This window comes from Homo sapiens, chromosome 4 (genome assembly GCF_000001405.40).
Source record: "Homo sapiens chromosome 4, GRCh38.p14 Primary Assembly".
In the NCBI taxonomy this organism is placed as follows: Eukaryota; Metazoa; Chordata; class Mammalia; order Primates; family Hominidae; genus Homo; species Homo sapiens.
The window spans coordinates 138,209,666-138,232,572 of NC_000004.12; the positions used below are offsets into that span (position 1 = coordinate 138,209,666).

Below are 22,907 nucleotides of genomic sequence, written 5' to 3' on the forward strand. Positions count from 1 at the left end.
CCTAGAAATACATCTAACCAAGGAAGTGAAAGATCTCTGCAAGGAGAGCTATAAAACATTGTTGAAAGAAAACATAGATAACACAAACAAACGAAAAAATATTTCATGCTTATGGATTAAAAGACTCAATCTCATTAAAATGGCAGTACTGCCCAAAGCAATATACAGGTTCAATGCTATTCCTATCAAACTACCAACACCATTGTTCACATAATTAGATAAAACTATTCTAAAATGCATATGAAACCAAAAAAGAGCCTAAATAGGCAAAGCAACCCCAAACAAAAAGAACAAACCCAGAGGCATCACATTACTTGACCTCAAACCATACTATAGGGTTACAGTAACCCAAACAGAATGATACAGGTACAAAAGCAGACAAATAAACTAATGGAACAGGTTAAAGAACCCAGAAATAAAGTCACACACCTACAACCATATGATCTCCAACAAAGTCAACAACAATAAGCAACAGGGAAAGGATTCCCTATTCAATAAATGGTATACCTGGATAACCAGCCAGCCTCATGCAGAAGGATGAAACTGGACCCCTATCTTTGATCACATACAAAACTTAACAAGATGAATTAAATATTTCAATGTAAAACCTCAAACTCTAAAAACCCAAGAAGAAAACCTAGGAAGTACCACTACAGACATTGGCCTTGGGAGAGAATTTATGACTAAGTTCTCAGAAGCAATTGCAACAAAAACAAAAATTGACAAGTGGGACCTCATTAAACTAAAGAGCTTCTGCACAGGAAAAGAAACTATCAACAGAGTAAACAGACAACCTACAGAATTAAAGACATTACTCACAAACTATGTATCTGACAAAAGTTTAATATCCAAAATCTATAAAGAACTTAAACAATTCAACAAGCAAAAACCAAATAATCCTATTAAAAAGTGGATGAAAGACATGAAGAGACACTTCTCAAAAGAAGACATACAAATGGCCAGCAAACATATGAAAAAATGTTCAACATCACTAATCATCAGAAAAATGCAAATCAAAACTACAATGAGATAGCATCTCGCATCAGTCAGAAGGGCTATTATTAGAAAGTCAAAAAATAACAGATGTTGGCAAGGCTGTGGAGAAAAGGGAATGCTTATACACTGTTGGTGGGAATGTAAATTAGTTCAGCCTCTGTGGAAAGAAGTTGCGAGATTTCTCAAAGAACTTATAGCAGAACTACTATTTGACTCAGCAATTCCATTATTGGTTATATATCCAGAGGAAAATAAGTAATTCTATGAAAAAGACACATGCACTCATAAGTTTATTGCAGCACTATTCACAATAGCAAAGACATGGAATCAACTTTAGTTCCCATCAAAAGTGGGTTGGATAAAGAAAATGTGGTACATATACATGTACTATGCAGCCATAAAAAAGAATGATATCATGTCCTTTACAGCAACATGGATGCAGCTGGTGGCCATTATCCTATGCAAATTAACAGAGAAACAGAAAACCAAATACTGCATGTTCTCACTTATAATTGGGAGGTAAACATTGGGTACTCATGAACACATAGACGGGAACAATAAATACTGGGGACTACTAGAGTAAGGACGGCAAGAGTGGGGCAAAAGCTGAAAAACTACCTACTGGGTACTATGCCCCATACCCAACAGTAACAGGATAATTCATACCCCAAACCTCAGCATCATGCAATATATCCATATAACAAATAAAAAAACTTTTATTTTAAATTCAGGGGCCACACATGTACCCCCTGAATCTAAAATTCACTGTTAGTGGGAATGTAAATTAGTACAGACAATATGGAGAACAATATGGAGGCTCTCAAACCACTAAAAATAGAACTTCCATATGATCCAGCAATCCTACTGCTGGGTATATATCCAGAAGAAAGGAAATCGGTATACTGAAGAGATACCTGCTTTCTCATGTTTATTGCAGCACTATTCAAAATAGCCAAAATATGGAATCAATCTAAGAGTCCATCCATGGATAAGTGGATACAGAAAATATATATAAACACACACTAGAATACTATTCATTCAATAAAAGAATGAAATCCTCAGTTATTTGAAGCAACATAGATTAACCTGGAGGACATTATATTAAGTGAAGTAAGCCATGCACAGAAAGACAAATATTGTATGTTTTCACTCACGTGTGAGCTAAAAAAAAGTTGACCCTATGGAGGTAGAGTAAAATGATGGTTACCTAGGTTATAAAGTATAAGGAGAAAGTAATGAAGATAAGTTGGTTATTGAAAACAAAAATGCAGTTAGATAAAACATGTTCTAGTGTTCAGTGGCATAGTAAAGTAACCGTAGTTATCAAAAACATAGTATATTTTAAATTAGCTAAAAGAGAAATTTGCAATATTCTCAACACAAAAAAAGATACATGTTTGAGGTGATGAGTACCCAATTATCCTGATTTGATCATTACACATCGTATGCATGCATCGAGATAGCATAGATATCCCATAAAGATATTTTATGGATCAAGAATGCATAATAGAGATCAAAAATGCATATGAGGTTTGACACTAAAAGTTTAGAAAGTAAGCTTCAAAATGGTGTAATTTTTCACATTTCTTTCAAAAGCTCTGAAGAAAAATAATTGCTTGGAATATTGAATTCTAGAAAACACTATTCTGTGAATAACATTTACCTTGCTCTAATAAAGTATATAACAGTAATAGTAGTAATGACAACCAAACAATTATGTAGAAATTAAAAAGTGACAGTCACTAATCTAAAGCACTTTATGCATATTAATTCATCAACACAACCCAGTGAAGTATGTGTTATTATTATTTCCATTTTTTAGATAAGGGAATTTCTTTGCAACAGAAAAAAAAAAAACACTGAATCAATACATCACCATCACTGTTCCTTAGTATCTGTGTGCACTAAATCATGGACATTATCAGTAGTGTGCAACTAAGGCCCTTTAATTTAAGAAGAGAAGGAGACAATCCTTAATTGGAACACAGTTTAGTAGAATACATCAGAAATTTGGGTTGAGGTAATAACGGCATAACTAGCTTCAAGATATGCTTAATATACACAATAGTATTACTATATATGTGTCAAACAAAAATCACACTTAAACTGTTAAATAATATTAAAGATAATATGAATTATATCTACACCACTGATGAATCATATAATAAATGTTATGTTATAGGTCTTGTCTGCAACCCTACAATTTGCCATTTGCTTATAAAAATATTCTCATGTTAAATTCTAGTAATTGATGTCTTTAAAATGTCTTTAGACTTAACATACATAGTTACGAACCATAGTAATTTATTTCCCGTAATAGAAATTCAATACATATTTTATATTATATCCAGTACTAACTGTCTTTTCTCTATGCTGGTGCTTACATACAAGTTATTCTCAAAAACTAAAAAGGCAGGCCAACCTATTTATCTCTGTAATCAATGGGTTTACAGTCGTAAGGTAGCTTGTCATTTCCAAGTAACGCTTAGAAAGAACTAGCTCTTGGTAAATATGTGTTCTCGACCTACAATTCCAGTTATAGATATGACAATATTGGCATAAATTGGTCATATTTCTTAATAAAATGGCCTTTCACATGTTTAAATTACATATTGATTTGCATAGCAGTTGAATCAGATACCAATTGCTGGCTTATGTGTTCTAAACTCCGACATTCCTGGTACTTGGCCAGATCTCATCAGTTTACCATTTCCCAAGATACCAGGTGCCAGAATTTCCTAGTCTATCTTAGTGTGAATTGTCAACCCTTAGGTATATTCTTTGATGTCCAGGCTATTTCATACTGATGCACCTTTGTACTTGTTCTTTTTCCTAGAAATCAGTGTGTGTTTGTTTGTGTTTGTGTTTCTCCTCTCTCTCTCTATCTCTCTCTCTCTCTCCTCCCATACCCCTCTTCTCTCTCATTTATATTTACCTAAGGAACACCTACTCATCATTTGAGACACTATTATAAACAACATCTCCCTAGATACACAAGTATTTCCTTCTTTCCTTTTTGCCAAACTGGATAAATAATCTATTTTGGTACCAATCACACTGTTACATCTATTTGTTTACACATTTGACTCATTGACTAGTCAATAAAATACTTCAAGACAAGTCTTATGCATCATGAAAGCTGTTCCCAGCACAATGATTGGAACATAGCAGATGTTCAATAAAGTAAAATGAATTAAATAACTTTATAATTTAGTCTACATTTTATACTATACTACAGTTCCTACATTTTCCCTCTTTTGCCCATGAATTATTTTTTCCTGTAGCAAATCCAATGTTTATGAACAAATTATAAGAATAATTCATTTTTCCCTAAGTTAGTTCATTTTGAAAATATTACATAAATCATCATCAAATCATCTACTTATCAAGTTGTTACCTAGAAAGAAAGAGTAAAACTTATCCAGCTCCCCAAATTTATAAGGTCCTATAACATTCTGCAGGTATTTCTAGGCTTTTGTAACTAGTCGTCTATTAATTACATTACTCACTTTAATTCGATAGTTATGAAAAAAGATTACATGAATTGTTAGAAATAATTAACTTTTTGAGTTCAAGCTATCCCGTGGGTAGTTTAGAGTCCGTATTAAGTTATATGTATGTGTTTATATGGGATAGGCTACCTAAAATATAACTTTATTATTTCCTATTTTCAGGTTAAAAGACAACTTAGTATTGAATGTAGACTATATAATTAAGCTATTTGTATATAATTATAAATATAATTATGTATATAATTTATGATAAAGTCAAATAAATCTTATCTAAGAGAATTATAGTGATGATGATGACGATGTTAAGGTTGACTAGCCCACACTGAATTCCTTCTTCAAGTCTGCTTTTTAAACTATGTAATCTTAAATTTTATTCTTCATAAAAATTTCAGGGTACATCTGGCTACTTACTTTTCAGGGTTTTCTACTTCTTCAGTAACAAAGTTGAGGTAAAACCTAAAAATAGATAAATAAATTATAAACTATTAATATATTTTACCATTATCCAAAGTCTCAAATTTTAAATATTTAACATTGAACCCAGAATTATGAAAACTATAACAATACTTATAGTAAGATGAAAATATCTAACAACTAAATACTCCCATAAGTCATTTTTCTATTAAGCCATATTTGTGGAGTTTTTATCATGTGTCAGAAATATACAAGTGGTAAGCCCATAGTCTTAAGGAGCTCATAGCTCATAGAATGTCCCACAGAATAGTGTGATACAGTGCAGGTCCAATACTGGAGCAAGCACGTGGGAGCCAGAGGGCAGGTCTAGCCCAACCTGGTAGGTCAAAGGGGGTTTTCTAGAGGAGGCATCACCCAACTTGAACCTTTAAGAACTGCTTTATCTTACCCTGGTGAGGTGGTGTGAGGCCATTCCAGACTGAGAATAGCACACGAGCACAAAAGTGTGGCAGAGGGGTTAGGCACAGGAAAATGAGCACCCGTACACTGCAGTACAAGTGTGACAGAGGGATTACTATAGAAAGAGCCAAACATATGAAGGCAAAGACTTTTCTACCTTTTCCTTTTCTATGCTTAGAAAATTTTTGTGAAATAAAAAAAATCATATATTCAATATAATCTTCCATTATCTTATTATTATTAAAAGTAACCTTTTACATAGGTATGCAGGAGCACAGATTCATAGGTACAAATTCTCTAAAATCGAAAATCAAGTGGCTGGAATATAAGTCCATCAGCTCTTAATATACTTTAAGTATCTCACCAGCTAAAACAAAGATGAAGAAACCTGTCTTGCTCCATCTTTATAAAACCACCTAAATTCACAAGTAGTCAGTTGATGTTCAAGGTTAAAGTGTCTACAATTTTAAGGACTGTTTTAAGTAGAAATAATTGAGGAGCTGACAGAACAGTAGCAGTAACGGTGATCTAAAAAGTCAGCAACCAAAGATTTTTCTAATGACTAGAAAATAAGTTTCTATAAATAGAGATTGTAGTTACACCATGAAAGCAAGCAACAATCAGTACTTATATCTGCAATATGCACTCCAAGAGGGGTTTGATGTGTTTGCTATAAGCCTGAGGCAATGGGAAGTAGGGAAAGAAAAAAGAAAAAAAAACACATGCACACTAAAAAACAAACACCACCACCAATGAAAAATCACACACCCCAAGAAATATTTTTAGGCTTCTCATGTCAAAAATAGCCAGTTCCTTCCTAACAGTTGTTTTAGAAAGTAGTCTTTTCCCACAATGTTAAAGCAAGAAAGAAAATATTTATGAAAAATAGAACACAATTTCAAATATTTGCCACAGCTCCAGGGAGTAGAGAAAAGGAAAGGGCTTGGAGCAGGATGGTGAGTAGGAAGGAGAAAGCTTCTTGTTTTAGTCCAAACATTCACACATCCTGTGGGAAATCCACCTTTACGTTCTAGTCTCCAGGAATGACCATGATATTCTCTTTGGTTTACAACACTTCAAGGACTCTAGCGAATGCTCATAAGATCTATTGTTCCAGCTTTTCCATGATTGTGCATAAAAGGTACTGCAATGCTAGCAATGCATTCCAATACCCAACTATGTGAATTATTTTTAAAAGAAGCTTATTCTTTAGATTAGATTTGACACAACAGTACAAAATAATCCCAGCAAGTGCTTTAGAAAGACTAAATCCATAGAGGGGGATAGGATTTAAAAGGAAGAGAAAAAGACACTAAAAACGATTTTCTATCACACAATTGAAAAAAAAGAAAACCCTACCAAGCAATGTTTAGCTTTGGATCAGGATATGGGACTGAGTTCCCCAGGGCCACAAGGGGGACTGGCAGATGTATTTCTCTGAACGCAGACATTGGCAATGTTATTAACATTGTTCCGACCCAACTGTGTGACCTGACTGGGTTAATGATTTCTTTTCCCCTACTCAAGTTTCTGTGAAGTAGCTTTATCATTCTAGAAAGTTTCAGCATTCCTCAGAGACAAAAACCTCCACTATTCATATCCCCACCCTGGGCTTGGTGGTATCTTTTTCCTTGCTAGCAGAGCAAGGTCTCCAGGACAACAATGGTCTTGCAGCTTTTACTTACAGGCTAACAGGCTGGGCGGTAAGCTCTGATGACAATAGCTGTTTTGCTTCTGACTTACTCATTTTCAATGCCCTTTTATTAGGGGGGTATCAAACATTGTCATAGCAGCAGCATAGGGAGTGGAGAATCATTTACACTTACCCACTGATAATTCTACAACCCAGTCTTGTAATTATATCTTGAAAGCGAGAGAAAGGTCAGAAAGGCGAGATCACATTTGGCAAGTGAATAAATGCCCCTCTCTTTGGAATTCTTTTAGCCTCCATCTTGTTTCATTTACATCCAGATAATAACTTTTCCTCTAGAACCCCACACCAACAGACTATATTTTTTCTAAACACAGCTTCCTTTTTCTAAGACTGATGACCATAGATTAACAGCCAGATTATTTCTGCGTCTTCACAAAGCAGCATTCAGGTAGCACAACAACCTGTTATAGAAACACGGTTACTTATCTGTCCCCTACATAAGCCACTTGTATCAGATAACATTCCATTTTAAATCCTGGACTTATTTTCCAATACTGTGATTGAACCCTCAAGGATATAAAGAAATCAATGGTTTTTGGTCTTTCAAATAGGGAGTAGACATGAGGATTATATGGGTAAAAGTATTAAAAAAGATTCATGTAAACCCCTTTTACCTTGTAATCAGAGAAACATTTTGGGGTCAGCATCAATAAAGTTAAATATTAGTACAATAATTCAAAATGAAAAGGGTCTTCATCCATGGAGAAATTCATCAGCCCTCAAAAGCCTACATAAGCGGAGAAATTTTGCTCTACATAAAGCAAGTGACCTGAATTTTTAGTTCTGGGTATTAGAAAAGTGAGGAGGGTAAAAGAATATTTTAAGATGGCATGGGAACAGATCTATCGTACTCTCAGGCAAAAGAAATTTCATTCAACAGAATTAATCAAACCTCCCTTGTGACTATCTTCACATTCCACACTCGTGGTTGCATATTGCCCGGCTCCCAACACTTGGCTGTAGCTGAAAGCTTTCTCTACCTCCCCGCTTTGCTCTGGTGTCTCCCAGTGACCCTCCCAGTAGCTTGGCTTCAGCCCCAGGGCACAGAGCTCTGATCCAGGCTGAATAGCCATAGAACAGTTGATTCTGCTTTAACCCTGTGATCACGCTCAGTTCTTTTGATGTCTAGCACCACATTGTGCTTCAGACAAAAGCAAAAAGACTTCAAAAATACTGAGTGATTCAAAACTAATGCTTACATATAATGGTTATAAAAATATTCTGGGAATATACAAATATTTTACACTGATTTCCTTAGAGCTATAATCTTCTAACAATCTTCAAGCATATTTTGCCTCAAAGGCCATGTTAAGATTTTAAGTTCCCATACCCCCTAATTATCCTCTAATACCATATTTTCATAATTCAATGAGATTAATAGGGTAAACGCTCCATTCATTTTGAAATATATCCATATTCCATGCATCGGCTAGAAGGTAAGATCTTAAAAACTAAAAAAACAAAAGGAATTATATTTGTGTTGGAAATGCATTCATATAATTTTTTAGCTAGTGTGGTTTCCTAATATTACTTCCAGGCTCATAGATCATTCTCACAGCTAAAGCTGTATAACAATGAGATTTATAGATAATTAAAAAATAAACATTGCCATGATTTATCCCAAAACAATGAAATTTAATCTTACTACAATGATTTTGATAATTAAATAATACCTTGTAGGCTTTCTTGCAACCATCATCTCAACTAAATCTTACAAGGTCAATAAAATTTACTGAAGAGAAAGTCCCACTCTTATCCATGATTACATGATTACTGTTTTTCAAGTATCTGAACAAATAAGGTACAAATACAAAGTTTTAATGCCTTAACTAGAAAGGTAGGTATCACAGGTGGACATACATCAAAGGAAATATATCTGTGGCATCATGATTTTAATCATCTTCACTTTTTTAAATTTTCAGATGTTGGGGACATTTTAAGGAACATGTAAGGTCCTTTTAAATGTAATAGACTGTCTAGAAGAGTTGACTGCATTATCTTGGTTTCTCTTTCTCTGCCTTTAGATTACCATTTACCTTCTGGGAATGTCATACTTATTTCTACATCTGAGTTACTTCTCTCACGAGAAGCTGGAAAAAAAAATCAATTAATCACTATTTGTAAACACCCTTGGAGCTTTAGCTGAAAGGCCTTTTGACAAGCGAAGTATTATTCTTTAGTACCTTACGGCACTATTATGTCCTTACTGGTACATACTTATAAGTAATTTTTATTGGATCTTAAGACCCAGCATTTGTTTGTTTTTTATGACATCAGGCTAAATCTAGCAGTCACCTTGACTGGAAACCTGTTATGTTTAGTTGTCATGTGCAAAGTAATTGGCCTGGTGGAGGGGATAATACCTTATTTCTCATTTCAAGTAAAGCCTATCACACTGGATTATGGCTATTCACATTTGCCTGGCACCTTGCTTGGCACTTAATCTGAGTGCATAATGGGATTAATGAACTACGCAAACCACCAGATCTGGAGCTATCAACTTACCAGCCAGCATATGCATACATTCCATAATAAAAAGCCAGTGGCAACCGCGTAATACTTGAATCTCTTCCTGAAAAGGCGTCTTTAAAGTTCTGCGTTTGACCTGTAATTAGAATAGACTGATTTTAGGATTTTTCAAAGAATTGGTTCTTATTCACTCTTAACCAGAAACATGGGGGTGCGGAGAAACATACTGTTGTAAGTCTAGATTTCTTACTCTCTGTTGATTACCATCTTTATCAATACTGTACCCATTCTATAGAAGGGGTCCCAAAAGTATATTGATCATTAACACTATTTCATATTTCTCTTTTAATAAATTTATAACAAAGATGAAAATGGCATTGAAAAATAATCCTCTGTTTGAGTATGCCTCTATTGTGACCATAAAAGAAGACTAAAGGGTTTTCTGTAAATTATAATCTTTATGAATATGATAGAATTCTTAAAAGATAGAATTCTTAAAAAGATAATGTTTTGCTTGGCAAGAAAATGCGGAGAGGTATCCAAGGTTCTACCCTTAATGAGGAGATGGAAATAAATCCCAGGACTCCTTTCCTACACAATTTACCTTTCTGCTTTCTGTTTATCCCATGTTGTTCATTAGATGCCTACCTCCTAGAAGAGAAGTTGGAAAATCCTGAAGACCATGTGTGTCAACCCAAACTGCAAGCCTTTCTTTTTTTATTTTTTTCAAGATGGAGTCTCACTCTGTGGCCCAGGCTGGAGTGCAGTGGCACAATCTTGGCTCACTGCAACCTCCGCCTCCTGGGTTCAAGTGATTCTCCAGCCTCAGCCTCCTGAGTAGCTGGGATTACAGGAGCGCGCCATCATGCCCAACTAATTTTCATATTTTTAGTAGAGATGGGGTTTCACCATGTTGGCCAGGCTGGTCTTGAACTCCTGATCTTGTGATCCGCCCGCCTCGGCCTCCCAAAGTGTTAGGATTACAGGTGTGAGCCACTGCGTCTGGCTGCAAGCCTTTCTTATAGATAAAGTTTTCTTTATCTATAAGTTAAAAATGCCCATTCATGAAGTATTACCCATTCATGAAGTATTGCCTATGGCTGATTTCAACCTATAATAGCAGAGTTGAGACCATACAGCTAGCTTGAAAAATTGAAAATATTTACTCTCTTGTCCTTTACAGAGAAAGTCCACTCACTCTGTGACCCTGTCCTAGAGAATGACATGTTTTTTTTCCTAGAAATATTGAAAAGATATTATAATGAACTCTAAAATAAATAGGTTTCAACAAATTTTGCAGCAGCATGTGAATTGAACACTTCACCTTTTTCTCTATTTTATGAATCACATTGGAGCTTTTTCTTTTATATCTTTTGAATAGTTTTAAAAGTTAGAAATTCAGATTTACTTTAGTCAGTCAATATTCAAGCTTAAGCAGAAAAAATGTTTCTATTACCCAAAGAAAATAGCAAATGAGATTACCCAAATGGGAAGTGAGACTTTGTTTTAAAATAAAACTTCATGTAAATAAACAGAAGGGGGACAGGGGGTGGATGATGTGTATGAGACACTCTCTCTTCCAAGTCAAATCTCAGTTTTTCCTGCATTCATTGCCCAGGCATAACTTATATATAAATATAATATGTGTGAGTATGAAGACCAAAAATGGAGAATGTTGAATTATATACTAAACAATTTTTCTCTCAAATGATTCCCAAACATAGCTCACTTTTTAAATGACATGATAAATTCAGAAATGCCCATTTTACTAAAACATCATTGTGTCCTTCCAGGAGAAAAATATAAATAGTGGAATTCAGATAAAAGCATCTGTTGAATATTCTTTTATCATAATCTGTGGTCTCTTTGGCATAAAGGCACAATATTTCTTAGAGTGCAGCACCAAATAATCCATAAGAAAAACCAAATTCTATAAAGACTGGGTCACAAGCAAAGATCTTCAAAAGTGCCATTTTGAGAATATTACAAAAGAGAGGCATTTTGTTTCTAGAATTCAGGAATATTTTGGCTATATAACAGAGGTCTCATGAAGATTAAAGGCAATATTCAAAGGAAAGTTCAACAAACTCTCATAAGTGAATACATAACATACAACTACTTTCAGGATATGATTAGAATAGAAATAAAAGCACAATCTGTATTAACAAAGTCTCCTACTAGAGTTTCAGATTAATGTGAAAAATGTGTGATCATGTTAGAGATGAAGAAAATCACAATTTTACAGCAATCGAGCAAATATACCTGCTAATAATGGTCTCTAAAATGTTAAATTTACATTAAATGCGGTAATATTCTCAGGGAATTTCTCTGTTGTGTGAGATCTCTGAATAAGCCTGTCACATTAAGCATTGATATCATGATTATTGATTAAAGTGTCTCTGTATTTTAGCCACTAAAAAAACCTCAAGATATATCATGACCTCTGCTCTCAAGGAATTTGCAATAGAGCAACATTTGGGCAACCAAACCCTTCCTCATATACATATATAAATACCTGGTAAAAATTGAATAAAGTCTATAATGCTACCTATAGTATCTTACATTACACCAAAAAGAAGAAGAAAATAAATCTTAGTTTCAAGGGATAGCATATAATCTTTTGGAATCTAAACTAGTATTAAAGAACAGCCAATGACCCAGAGATTCTGCACTTTTCAAATACTGAAGAAACTCCTTACAGAAGACTGAAGAGTTAGCTCAGAAAAATAAAGCACTAACAAAACAGATTATTGTGCCTACATTCCTAACGAATAAGATAGAAATGAGCAGGCTAGCTCTGTGGAGGCCAAGGTGTATTAGAAGAGCAAGCTCCTGTCTTCTCTTCAGTGCAAGCTCTAACGGTCAAAATCTTCATTGTGTTTATTCTGCATTGGCTGCTGTTGCTGGATTTCATAAAAGCATTTCCGCCAGCAGGGCTCTAAAATCTCCCACTAGGCTTATTAAATGGGCAACAGCAGCTCCCTTTCCCAGCTCCAGAGTGGCTGATCCTTCAGTGTTTGTCATTATTTAATGCTTCTACCAACAGTGATGATTTTACCAAACGCTGGCATTTCCTTTTGCCTTGTGTAATTCTTCTGCAACGTCATTAAATTTCTCTAGATTCCCTTTCTTGGAACAGACAATATCAATGTAAACATTAAATACTTAACATGCCCAAGTTATGTCATTCCTTTACAATTTCTTCTCACTTTATTTCCTGCTATATTCCTGTTGCTAATTAAATACCACATGTGAATCTCTGTCCTCCAACAATTTCCACTGAATCCAAGCAACTGCATGTGCCTTCTTTCCTAAAACAAAAACTCTAAATGTCACCTCTCAATTTCTTTTTTTAAATTAAATGTTAAACTCTATAAAGCAAGTAATCGCAGAAATGCGAATTTTATATTAAAAATAATGTAACAATAAAAATTAAGTTTTTACAACTATTTTATTGTGATATAATTTTGGTGTTTAGGAATGCTGTTCCCGTATTGACTCCTCTGTTGAGGATACCACTCTCAATTTAAAAGGAATAATAACCAGAAAGTCAAAGAATTATTGATCATCTTTTATCACTTTCCAGATACCTTTTTCTCTTTAATTTTTATTACTATTATTGGACAATTTTAAAGTAAAAAAAAGACATATTTATCTTTAATTAAAACTAAGTGGCAGGTTTTTTTTTTTTCCACTTCGAGTTTTCACTCCAAACCATTAAACCTAGAAAATTCACTGATGCCTTATTTTGTTGCATGGCCCATTCTTAATCCTCTTTCTGCCATTCAACTGTAAAAACCAACTCACTCACAATGTAGCAGCCTTTCAAATCAATTAGATGACAATATAGAGTTTAAGTTCCACAGGCAGAGACTAATTAAGGATTCTGTTAGTACAAGCAAAAGTTAGTGTTAAAAAAGACCAAAAGCAGATACGTATTTTAAAAAGCATTTGCTTTTCAGTCCATACCTTTAATTAGCTGCATAACTCCAGGGACTATAATTATCAGAATTGCTGTGAGCTTGCAAAAGGTTAAGAAAATCTGGATCCGGGCGCTCCAGCTGACACTCATGCTATTTAGGACCATCACTACAGCTGCAAACAAATAGAGGAAGTTACAAAAGGTGAATTCTCACTGGCACAAAGACATTTTAGGTCCTTGTTACTCAAAGGGCAATCTGTGAGGCAGCAGTGTTGACATTACTTAGAAGTGTTTTAGAAATGCAGAATCTCAGGCTCTGCCCCAGGCCTAATGAATACAAATCTACATTTCAACAGGTTCTCCAGCTGGTTTTTATGCACATTGAAGTTTGAGAAACATGGATAAAGCCTCTGGACAATAAGAATTCTTCTCTTGTTCTTTGTATGTAAGAGTGGACATATATTGTAGTACTCTAACAATCACATAAAAATGTCTTCTAACCAAACCCAGCATCCAATCAGATGGCTGAATTTCACTGTCTAGCTTGATGTGACAACTCTTTCCTGTCTCTATGATGGTATGCCTGCCAATGTGGATCACACTCAAGAAGGAGCAAGAAGTGTAGAAGTTGGCTCAGATCTTATTTTTCACTCTCAGGACTAGCCTCAGGCAGCACTTTTCTTTTGGTTGTCTTCTTTCTAATTAGCATGTCAAGGGGCGACTTTCAACCCACCGTACAAGTATAGTTTTTCAAGATATGTTTCAGGGCTTCAGCACAATATTCTAAGTGATGAGTGCAAAAGACTAACCAGGCTAGAATGCACATTGGGTTCAAAGCCAGAAGAATTTTTCATTCTTACTGATGCTGTCTACAATTTCCCAAGCAGCAATAACTATCCACCTTCGACACCTTGTGGACCATGAAAACCTCAAGGATAGAGCAAGGGTTATTCATCGCTGTATCGCTGGTATCCAGCTCCATGCCTGGCCCAGGTAACTTAATACATTTTTGTTGAATGAATGAACTGGATCCTCAGTTAGAAAATCTAAGGCACAAGGGAAATGGTGATGCTCTAAGACCTTTCTCCCCTACTCTGCTGGGATGACTGAGGTTATTCTAGACAGTGGTTTTCAACTTTATACTCTTTCCACAACCTTATGCTTGGAACAACCCAAAACACTACTTTATTCCTGACATTTACAGTTATTAACTATAACCTTTATATTTATAAAGGTATATTCTCCCTAAACAAATATTTAAAATGTAAAGATATTTCTCAAAGAATGAAACAAAACTCCTACAGAATTCTTATTATTCAAATTGAAATTGGAAGTTTTCCTTATATATAGTAATGAGTCCGCCTCACAGTTTTCACTGCCTGATATAGTTACTAGCTCACTTCAGAATTTAACAATCAATGCAAATGTCAGCAACACATAATCTTTAAAGGCAAAAAAATGGAAATAGCCTAAACCTCCTAAAGGAAGGCTAATTAAGGTATATCATTTTAATAGTTTATATGCAGCCACTTAAAATTATGAGGCAGTTAAATATTTATTACAAGAAAGGATATTCATGATATATTACTGATCAATACAGCAAGTTAGAGGAATGGATGGAAAGAAGGAAGGAAGGAAGAAGGAAAAGAAGGAAGGAAGGATGAAAGGAAGGAAGGAAGGAAGGAAGGAAGGAAGGAAGGAAGGAAGGAGAAATAGATCTGGAAACATATTTACCAAAACATCAACAGCAGGTGTTTATAAGTGATAGAACACTAAATAATTTTCAATTTTTTAAATTTATTTTTAGGAATAGTTTAATAAATTTTATGATGAACATATAGCATTTTGGTGGCTATAGTTTCAAATACTGAATTGTATACTTGAAATATACTTAAATGTTCTCACCACAGAACAAAACAAAAAAAAGAGGGGTAACTAAATGATGTGACAGAGGTGTTAACTCACTTGATTGAGACAATAATTTCACTATATATATATATATATATATATATATATATATAAATAAAATCATTACATTGTACACCCTAAAATTACAATTTTATTTGTTGTATATACCTCAATAAAGATGAAAAAATTTTCAAAAGTAAATGAAGCAATAAAATACATTTTGTTTTTGGAAAAAACTCCAAGATGGGAAAAATAAGGGATCAGAAGATCTCATACAAAGTGAAATACAGGGTTACTAACGAAGAAATATTTCAAAGGAGTAATTATGAGAATGATCAAAAAGGCCAAACCCCTGAATAAGCTACAGGGGCATCTAAGGGGGGTTATTTCATCTGTGTTGGAAGCTGAAAACATGAAGGGATAGACAGGTCTGTTGTCAATGACAAAGTGCATTATTTTATCAGAGGAATCACAAAAATAAAATTATTTATCTCTCCCCAATATAAGGCACTTATATATGGAAAATAAGTTAGTGTAACTCTGCTCCCTGCTCCATCATCCAGTGATTCCTTTCCTTTTCTATGCAAATGACTGTGTGATGAGTCATTACACAATAATGATTATTGTTTTAATTAAGGAGGTTCAACGTTGGTGTAAAAGTGAAAAAATTGTCTCATGTGGCCACCAGCAACAAAAGGGCAGTGTTTTCTTTCAAATAGGGCTCCTAAAACCCAAAGCACTCTGTATTTATGAAAGTTCTTTCCACAGTAGAAAAGAACTGTTATATAGAGAGAAAGAGAGAAAAAGAAAGGAGAGGAAAGGAGAAGGATAAAAACGAAAAGAGGCAGGCAGGGAGGAAGGAAGGAGAGAGAGAGAGGCATTCTTATTTTTGGAACAACTAACTATATGTTTGAAAATAAGAAAGAGGTTTTGTTACTTTCATAAAGAGTATAAGTACCTAATGTCTATTGAAATATTAAAAAAACTGGGTATTTGGGATTTTAAAAAATACTTTGTAAAGTTTTCTTAGGCAAATGGAAGACAAAATTAAACAGATATTATGAATTGATCATCTCACCCTGCTTTCCTCTCAGATAGCTTAACAAAAATTCTCATTAAGATGCTAGTACACTGCTGGTGGGAATGTAAATTAGTATAGCCACTATAGAAAACAGTATGGAAGTGTCTCAAAAAACTAAAAATAAATCTATCATATGATCCAGCAATCCCATTGCTGGGTACTTGATTGTGGTGATAGTTTCACAGGTGAATACATACATCACACTTTATCAAACTGTACATTTAAAGCATGTGTGGTTTATTGTATGTCAATTACACCTCAATGAAACTTTTTAAGAAAAAAAAAGATGAATTTTTTTCAAAGGGTTCTTAAAACCCTGCTTTATCTGAGCATCCAGACATTGTACTCATTATTTGGTACACTAAATTCCAGCTGAGATGCCCCTGAATTACCCTGAAGGCACAGTTTAACAAGTAACAAGGCAGCCAGCGAGAGGTACAGTGAAGCTTCTCCGGTGGCTATAACTGCTGTTTCATCACGTGTCTTTACAGTGAAATTTATGTCTATGTATGTTGCTTCTCCAACAATATTGAAAAGGGACTTGGGATTCACTAAATGCAAGAGCTTTCTAAGTTTCTGAAACAAATAATATATACTTTTAAAAAATACTACCTTACCCACATTGCAATAATGAAAGAAATCTGGGCCAGCTCTCTGGTCCTAGTTTTACTTCCTTTGAATAACAATTTGCTAATTTCACACATGAGGAAATAATTATATCAGTCTGGGCATTCTTTTGTATGCTCCCCTTAAATTTTACCAAAATAAAAATACAGGGACATATAGTTTTTATTTACTTATTTATGATGCAGTTTCCTAAGAACTGAAATGTGGCAATGGAAGTGATATCTATAAATCCTGGAGATAAGAAATACATATTTGAAGGAAGCTATATTTGAAGAGGATGTTTAGGGGAATGTTAAGGACTGAAGCTGTGATTTAAGGACTGGCAAGTATTTCTTTCTGCACTATGTAATTCAAGTCTGTCTTTGGGTTTTGAAGAGTGAGATTACAGAGTCTAGATATATTGGGTTTTCTCCCAGGGTCAGGTTCTTCTTGGCTTCTGAATTCTGAGTACTTTGTGCTTAACTGATAAAATATATGGATATTGTGTATGTATGTTACATGTTGAGATAAAGTGGGTTGTTTCACTGCTGTTTTGTAATGACTGCCTGGATTCCTTTTATCTTTTTATTAGAATTCATCTCCTGGATGCATTAATTTTAGAGAAGACAGGTAGCAACAAACCCTTTAAAAAGCAGAGTGACAGTTTGTATCTAGGATCTCACTATTGGGAATAAAAATGTTAAGTGATATATAAATATAAACTTATTTTATGGCAGACATTGTACAAAGACTTTACATGAATAATGTTATTTAATCCTCATATCTCTATGACATAGTCATTTTATTGGCTTTATTTTTCAGATGAGCAGCTGAGACTCAAGATATTGTTTAACTTGCGCATGTTTGCATAGGTAGTAACAGTGAAGATGGGTCTGGAGCCCAGGTAATCTAACTCTGGAGCCCACACTTTTACCATTAGTTCCCAGGCAACAATGAGGAAGTAGTTCAAAAGACATACATGATCCCCTTGGTGTACCTAGTTCTTTTAAACTCTTGATGGCTCTTTCTCTCTGCAAAAGTTCACATTTATGTTAGCTACAGGACCCTTTGTTTCCACATTTTGCATGTCATCCTCCTAAAGTATGTGATAGTTGTTCTGCAGTACTTGTATATTTTAATACTATGTTTATTTACCTAAGAATTGGTTGTGTTGCTAAGTTACTTATGGTAGAAAAGAAGTAGGTATAGCCAGATTTCAAAGATTTAAACAGAGCCACTTCATATGCTGTATTTGAAGTGTTAACACAGAAATAGTCCTAGATTTTCTTTTATGTAATTTAATGGTGCCAGGAAAATATAGATTTCAAAAAGAATATAAAGTAATACGTTTGCAGAACTGGGTAATTTTTTTCACAATACAATCACAAATGTTATTTTTGCTTGTTCCTCCCAATTACTTTCAAAAGTTTGAGAATTAGGATGGGGTTCTTAACTCATCTTTATTTTATATAGATAAAATAAACTAGCAAGGAAATTGACATCCAACAATTGATGGTGTTAGGGATGGATCTGGGACTAGATCTCGTATCTTAAGGAGAATATTTTTATTATAATATTCTGACATTCAAGTGTATAATTATATAGGGTCCAATTTCAGGAATACAGAACAGATAAATATTTTAAATATTGAGCATACTTCAATGCTTATTGAATCTATAAAAGCAGTGAAAATTCATGAACTTCTACAGAAGGTGAAGAAAGTAATTACAGGTCGGGCGCGATGGCTCATGCCTGTAATCCCAGCACTTTGCGAGGCCGAGGCGGGCGGCTCATGAGGTCAGGAGATCGAGACCATCCTGGCTAACATGGTGAAACTCCGTCTCTACTAAAAATACAAAAAAATTAGCAGGGCGTGATGGTGGGCGCCTGTAGTCCCAGCTACTCTGGAGGCTGAGGCAGGAGAATGGCGTGAAACCAGGAGGCAGACCTTGCAGTGAGCCAAGATCATGCCACTGCACTCCAGCCTGGGCGACAGAGCAAGACTCCGTCTCAAAAAAAAAAAAAAAAAAAAAAAAGAACAAACGAAAGTAATTAAATATTGAGCTATAAGAGAGCAGCCAAATGCAAATCTATAAGATTTTCCATCTTAACTTCCACGCACCTGACATGTTTACTGGAATGGATGAAATTTGTATAAGCAAAAACTTTTTTATCTTCATTAAATTTGACAGAAATGAAATACAGTACTTAAAAAAATGGGGGTGAATTAGTATTTACTTAACCCCCCACCCTTATCCCATTATCATCTCTCAAATGGTTGGCTAACATTTCACAAAATTTGAAATTCTTTTTTTCTATGATGTAGCAAGACCCTTCAGGTTTGCCCTTTTTCTATGCTTAACTAGAGATTTCAAATGACCACGAACTGTTTCCTTCCCCAGGGATCACAGGGAAGCAATTCATGCAATTCAACTCTGTTTTCTACATCTTGGTTAACCTTCCACCCCTAACAGGTAGAAAATCACCTAGACTCACTTTGAAGAAAGCAGGGTGTGAGAGATTTGCCCCTAGATAAATTTCTCCTTCTCTATCTCCATCTCCACCCGCTGTTGCACCATTAAAGCTAAATTTTTCTTACAGACAGTTTGACTTTCCCAATTAGGGCACTGATTTACATTACCTACCACTGAGTCATAAGGATATCCAGTTTGCTTTTTAACTGTTGCTGATTATGGGTACACATTTCTTTCTCCGAATTTCAAGCTTGCAAAAGGAACATCAAAATTTAAAAATGAATGTAATAACTTATGGCAAAAATAGAAGGAAATGTCTGGGTTCATCTAAGATTTCCTCAGGCTCCTTGTTAACTATTCCGTCACCAATGTCTACTACAGAGGTTTTGTAAACCCCAATATGGTTATCCTTTCCTAGAACTGTTTTAAAGTTTAGTTTGAGCAGTTTTCATTTAATCCTCAGAGATACGAATTTTCCCTTTAAAATGTTTAATTGAATTGGGATAAACAAGAAAAGAGTTATCTAGACTTATAAAAACATAAATATAGCATTAGTATTCATATAAGTTTAACTCCAAAGTGAGTAAAATTTGTGGATTTATAAATGTTTACATGCAATCTACTTAGTCTTCTGGTTATGGCTTTTAATTAATAACTATCATTGTTAATTTACAGAGCTCTCAAAAATGCCACCCCTGCTCTTCTCTTTTTTAAATATAATAATTGTGATATGATTCTGCCTCAGTCATTCAAGGGACAAGAAAATGGTGAATATAACAATGGCTGTTAGTTCAGTCCCTTAGTGGAACAGTGGACTTATCAAGAACTTTCTATAGGCAAGGCACTCTGTTAAAGGTCTTAAAAATCTGACTGTGATCATGTCTTCTGCGGGAACATGGATAGAGCTAGAGGCCATTATCCTTAGCAAACTAACACAGGAACAGAAAACCAAATACTGCATGTTTTCACGTATAAGTGGGAGCTAAATGATGACAACTCATTAACACAAAGGGGAACTACAGACACTGGGCCTGCTTGAGGGTGTTTGGAAGGAGGGAGAGAATCAGAAAAAAATAGCTTGGGTACCAGGTTTAGTACCTGGGTGATGAGACAATCTGTACACCAAACCCCCATGACACGAGTTTACCTATGTAACAAACTGCACATGTACCCCTGAACTCAAAATGAAAGCTAAAAAAAAAAAAAGAAAAAATAATGAAAAAGAATGTGACCCAAACAAAAAATTTGGCTTAACTTCATCTTCCTTCAGCTATTCAAGATATTAATAGATTATCTTTTCATAGGCATTTTCCTAATATATAAAACTGGGGCTTAAATAGGTTTAAAAATTAGCACAAGATCACAAAACTAAGAATTGTAACACCAAGCTTCAATTCCAGGTTGTTTCCCTCCAAAGCCTAAACTGTAACCACTATGCTCAAATGGTTCAACCCTCAAAAACTTAGACTGCTAGATCTGAACATAATATGAAGCAAACTCTATTTCATTTTTATCATTTTCCCACTGCCTGGAAATATACTGAAGATATCTAATCCTCCAAGTTTAACAAGTAAACAGACTATAGACTTTTCTGCCGGAGAAAAAATTCTTAGACTTCTCAGAAAATCAAGTCAACAAATACTTACTGAGCACCACCAACAACATGCTAGGAGCTAAGTGAGGGGCTGGAAATACAGCAATGAATAGGTCTCTAGTCTCCTGGAACATCAAATGATGTTTTTCCAAAAGTATAAATAGTTACCATTTTTTATTGTCTTCTTAATAAATTGAATAAAATAATGTCTTTGCTGCCAGTAACATGGATGGAACTGGAAGTCACTATTTTAAGTGGAATTAAAGAAAAAGAAAGTCAAATACCATAGGTTCTCACTTATAAGTGGGAGCTAAATAATGTATACACATAGACGTAGAGTGTGAAATAATAGACATCGGAGACTCAGAGAGATGAGAGGGTAGGAGGAGGATAAGGGATGAAAATTACTTAATATCTACGATGTACACTATTTGGGTGATGGTTACACTAAAAGCCCAGACTCCACCACTACGCAATATATCCACGTAACACAACTGCACTGTACCCCCTAAATCTATTTTTTAAATTTTAATTAAAAATAAATAAATGAATTACAGGCAATAAGTAAATTACAGGCAATACCCCAGGCATTGTCCCATTGAAACACCTTAGCCATACAAACTAAAAATTCTTCCACGATTATGCAGTTGAGTTATTCCTGTGTAGCTTTCTCTTTATGAGTAGCTAAAACTCGGTTAAATGTGATCATATTGATTCTTAAGACAGTGATTCAAATGGCACCTAGAATTAAGTTATCCTTTCCCATATTTAAGGATTTGGTACCTGGCATCTTTTGGGGAATTAGAGTCATATATGGCTTCATATCACTCATGCAATTTTGTACATGTTCTTCTTTTTGTTTCTTTTTTTAATCAATGAATATTTGTGCCCATTGATAAAAGATGAACAACTTCTTAATTTGGAGACCATAAAGAAATCTAGTTAGAAAATACTACTAATAATCAATCTTAAAAGAAAATTCTTTTCATGACCAACAACAGGCAGCTGACATTATAACACTGGGAGTGACAGCTGCTAACACTACAAAATGTATAAGTACAACTTAAACACCCACTACATAAAGGTAACTCCATGATTACACATGAGATATAATTCAATATATAGCTAATTTCCAATTCAAGTAGTCTCTAAAATAATTGGGGTTTTCTCTTTAAAAGTCTTGTTCATGTATAATAGACTTAATATTTTACTAGTAAGGTGATTTTTACTATTTAAAAAGATTAGCCATCATATCTATTGACCAAATACAAAACTGGCATGGAATACAGTATTGGATCCCACTCCAAATCCTTCCAGTAGAAATTTGGAACTGTAAGCAAAAAGAACATGATGTGAGAGGCAATCCCGCAATGCAAAAAGTCTAAAGACACTTTGTCTTCAATCATTTTTGTGTTGTTTTTCCTTTTTCACATATATAGCTATAATACTCACTTATGCCCACAGCTGTAATGAGCTTGATCGCAAGTTCAGGGATTTCACATTGAATAAAAAATGGTTCCAGAATGTAGCGTCCAAATGCCAGGGATATCACAGCAGTAGCTGCAGGGCTAAAAAAAAATGTATATATTTAGGTTAACCACAGGGGAAAAAACTGCATTTTCATTAATTTTTTCTACCTTGAGTGTATTTAGCATATGGAACATGTTAAATATGAAAGTCCATAGTTTTCAGAATTCCGTACTTGATTAGGTTGCCATAGACATTCCAAATGAAGTACTTCCTGTAACACTGGTGGCT

At 34.6% G+C, this 22,907-nt stretch overlaps 1 protein-coding gene across 2 annotated transcripts in view, besides 2 other annotated features; it reads right to left on the reverse strand.

Moving 5' to 3' along the window:
- Window positions 1-22,907, reverse strand: part of SLC7A11 (solute carrier family 7 member 11) — a 78,253-nt gene that overhangs the window by 45,569 nt on the left and 9,777 nt on the right. For both annotated transcript variants that reach the window (NM_014331.4, XM_011531802.4), the window contains exons 3-6: window positions 22,602-22,717; window positions 13,534-13,659; window positions 9,601-9,700; window positions 4,920-4,964 (exon numbers count right to left, since the gene is read on the reverse strand). In NM_014331.4, the coding sequence (NP_055146.1) occupies window positions 4,920-4,964; window positions 9,601-9,700; window positions 13,534-13,659; window positions 22,602-22,717 (387 nt within the window). The remainder of the gene's footprint in view (window positions 1-4,919; window positions 4,965-9,600; window positions 9,701-13,533; window positions 13,660-22,601; window positions 22,718-22,907) is intronic.
- Window positions 7,925-8,470: an enhancer, noted in NCBI's record as "NANOG hESC enhancer chr4:139138744-139139289 (GRCh37/hg19 assembly coordinates)". NCBI's record gives its function as "activates a minimal SCP1, AML or CMV promoter by ChIP-STARR-seq in naive H9 embryonic stem cells {active_cell/tissue: H9 hESC(naive)}" and the evidence as "EXISTENCE:reporter gene assay evidence [ECO:0000049][PMID:30033119]".
- Window positions 13,209-13,819: an enhancer, noted in NCBI's record as "OCT4-NANOG-H3K4me1 hESC enhancer chr4:139144028-139144638 (GRCh37/hg19 assembly coordinates)". NCBI's record gives its function as "activates a minimal SCP1, AML or CMV promoter by ChIP-STARR-seq in primed H9 embryonic stem cells {active_cell/tissue: H9 hESC(primed)}" and the evidence as "EXISTENCE:reporter gene assay evidence [ECO:0000049][PMID:30033119]".